The sequence below is a fragment of the Homo sapiens genome, chromosome 3 (assembly GCF_000001405.40).
Source record: "Homo sapiens chromosome 3, GRCh38.p14 Primary Assembly".
Classification (NCBI taxonomy): domain Eukaryota; kingdom Metazoa; phylum Chordata; class Mammalia; order Primates; family Hominidae; genus Homo; species Homo sapiens.
In genome coordinates, this window is record NC_000003.12 from 80,052,178 (window position 1) to 80,054,531 (window position 2,354).

Genomic DNA, 2,354 nt, shown 5'->3' on the forward strand with positions numbered 1-2,354 from the left:
CAGGGCTAAAAGAGCTGTAATATAAACAGGGGTGAAACACACCCCTTGCTCGCCATGTTGTGGGTGACAAGGAGAGAAGAATAGCTGCGGTCCTTCAGGGAGAAGAGCTGCGGCCCTTCAGGGATCCCATACCTGGGAGCCCCCCGAGCCACGGCTATGACTCCCCTTTCGGACCCTTGAGTGTCCAGGCTTCTAGGTGCCACCGAGTTCCCTGGTGCCAGTTGTGTACCTGGTCCAGCTGCAGTTATGCATTGAGCTAACACCTGTGCCAGCACCTGGACCCGCCCACCTTGCTGCAGCAGCCGGCGTGCCTGACTGCACAGTTTCCGGACCCCACACTTGCTCGCTCACACACCCCTTGCCGCTATGCTACAGTCTCTTCGGAGGCGTGGGATCCAAACTGGTAGTGTGAGCTGAACGCAGCCTGCCAAGGTGAGTGGGCACAGTGGACTCAAGCAAAACTCGGGCAAAGGCGCCACCAGCCACAGAAGTTTCTGGCCAGAAAAGCAACACCCCCAAGAATCCCATAAGATAAGTGGATCCGTGCAGTTTAGACCTGTGTTGTTCAAGGATCAACTGTATTTCAAATCTGTAATTTGGTAGGCCATCTTGTTATTTTGGAATCATTTGCTTATATATTTTAAATTATTTATTAGATCTCAGTTTTCCATTTCTGTCCTTTGATTTTCTTCCTATTTAGGTTCTTCAATATTATTCAATCATCTGGTCTCTTGTATTGATGTCATATGTTTATTCACTTTTCAATTTCCATATTCTTACTTTGGGGTCTTCATATGCTGTTGCTGACATTTTTGCCAGTATCTGTTCCTTATCTGCTTTCTTACATCTCTCAGTAATACGTATATTTACTCATTTTCTGCTATGCAGTAATGATGAGAAACCCAATAGACATCATGAAAAGTAATTTTTTTAGAAATTCTTTCAAGGTTAACTTTCTGTGCACATTTATATATGGCACTACCCAAGGTTTGCACTTGACTTTAAGACTGTATTTCTTTCTGATTTCTATGGTAAGATTGAATTGATGTCATTTTATCCTGATGACAGATAATGTTTAGTTAATTCAAGACATACAATCAAGCACAGTTTTCTTTAAGATGCCCACAGGTGTGCATTAATGGGCTGCTAGTTCAATTAGTCTGTGATGTTCCTACCAAAATATTCTAGTTTTTCCTTTGTTGAGATGAAATGTCACAAAGCTATTGTAAGGATTAAATGAAATAATTTACATAAAATTTAAAAGAAATTGGGATAGTTTATACTCAGTAAATGCTTCTATCTTCAAATCAATTTCTTAACTCATAAAGAGAATATCTGGTCACTGAGTCTTATCAAATATTAGTAGGAATATATCTACTAAATAGGAAACTGCCCGGGGTACAATCTTTCTCAAGGAATCATCTACTTTGAATTTAACAAGGAAAAAATGTTGTTTCAAGTACTTTCATTATTTTTCCTGAAAGTCAACTCTTTAATATGTGTTATATCCAATTAGTAGAACACATAAAATTGTAAAGATGAAAATAACACTAATTGTGACAGCCATGGAGGTGTCAAGGTGTCAGATCTGCTGCAGTAGGTATAGTCGGCTGACAGCCTCCACCAGCTGTGTCTTCGGGTTTCACTGAAGTATCTAACCATGCCAGGGTTAGGCTTTCTTCTGACTGCTCTAAGTCAAGGAGTGAGCGGAGGAGGGACGTTAGACCTGAGCCATTTCTGCCCAATGCAGGGCACTTCTAAGAGGAAATATTTGCCATGGAGTTTGCTATGGCTTGAGTGAACCTTTCTCATAGCTGCATTGGAATATGAGGTTCCTCCTACCTCATGTCCTGCCAGACCTCAATTGTATCATAAGTGTCAGCAATGGATAGGGGTCTCAAAGCTCTCCCTGCCTTCCTCTGCTCCTTGTCCTCTTTATTATTTACAGACATTTCACTCAATGAATTTTTGGCAATTCTACTTTTGTCTTGGCATCTGCTTCCAAGAGGACCAGAACTGACACATTTTTAAACTGAAATTTTTCTTTGAATACTATTAACGAACATTTTCACTCTTAATAGCCAAGACTGGGTAAAACAGAAATAAAATTATGTACATAGAGAATATCACATGTAGTATTATTTAAAATTTCTAAGCCGTTTAGTGAGACTGTGTGAAGTCACCATTTTTACTATGGTAGAGGGCCTCCATTGTTGTATTTTTCCTGATGAAGTATAGCTTCACCTTCTCAGATATTACATGGAAAATGTGAAAAAAAATTGGTTGTTAGAATCACCAAAGAGAGGCGCAATAATTTTAAAAGTAAATTTAATAAAGTCATAGATTTTAAAATC

General features: G+C 39.8%; 1 annotated feature.

The window, feature by feature from the left end:
* Nucleotides 304–803: an enhancer, noted in NCBI's record as "H3K4me1 hESC enhancer chr3:80101631-80102130 (GRCh37/hg19 assembly coordinates)". NCBI's record gives its function as "activates a minimal SCP1, AML or CMV promoter by ChIP-STARR-seq in primed H9 embryonic stem cells {active_cell/tissue: H9 hESC(primed)}" and the evidence as "EXISTENCE:reporter gene assay evidence [ECO:0000049][PMID:30033119]".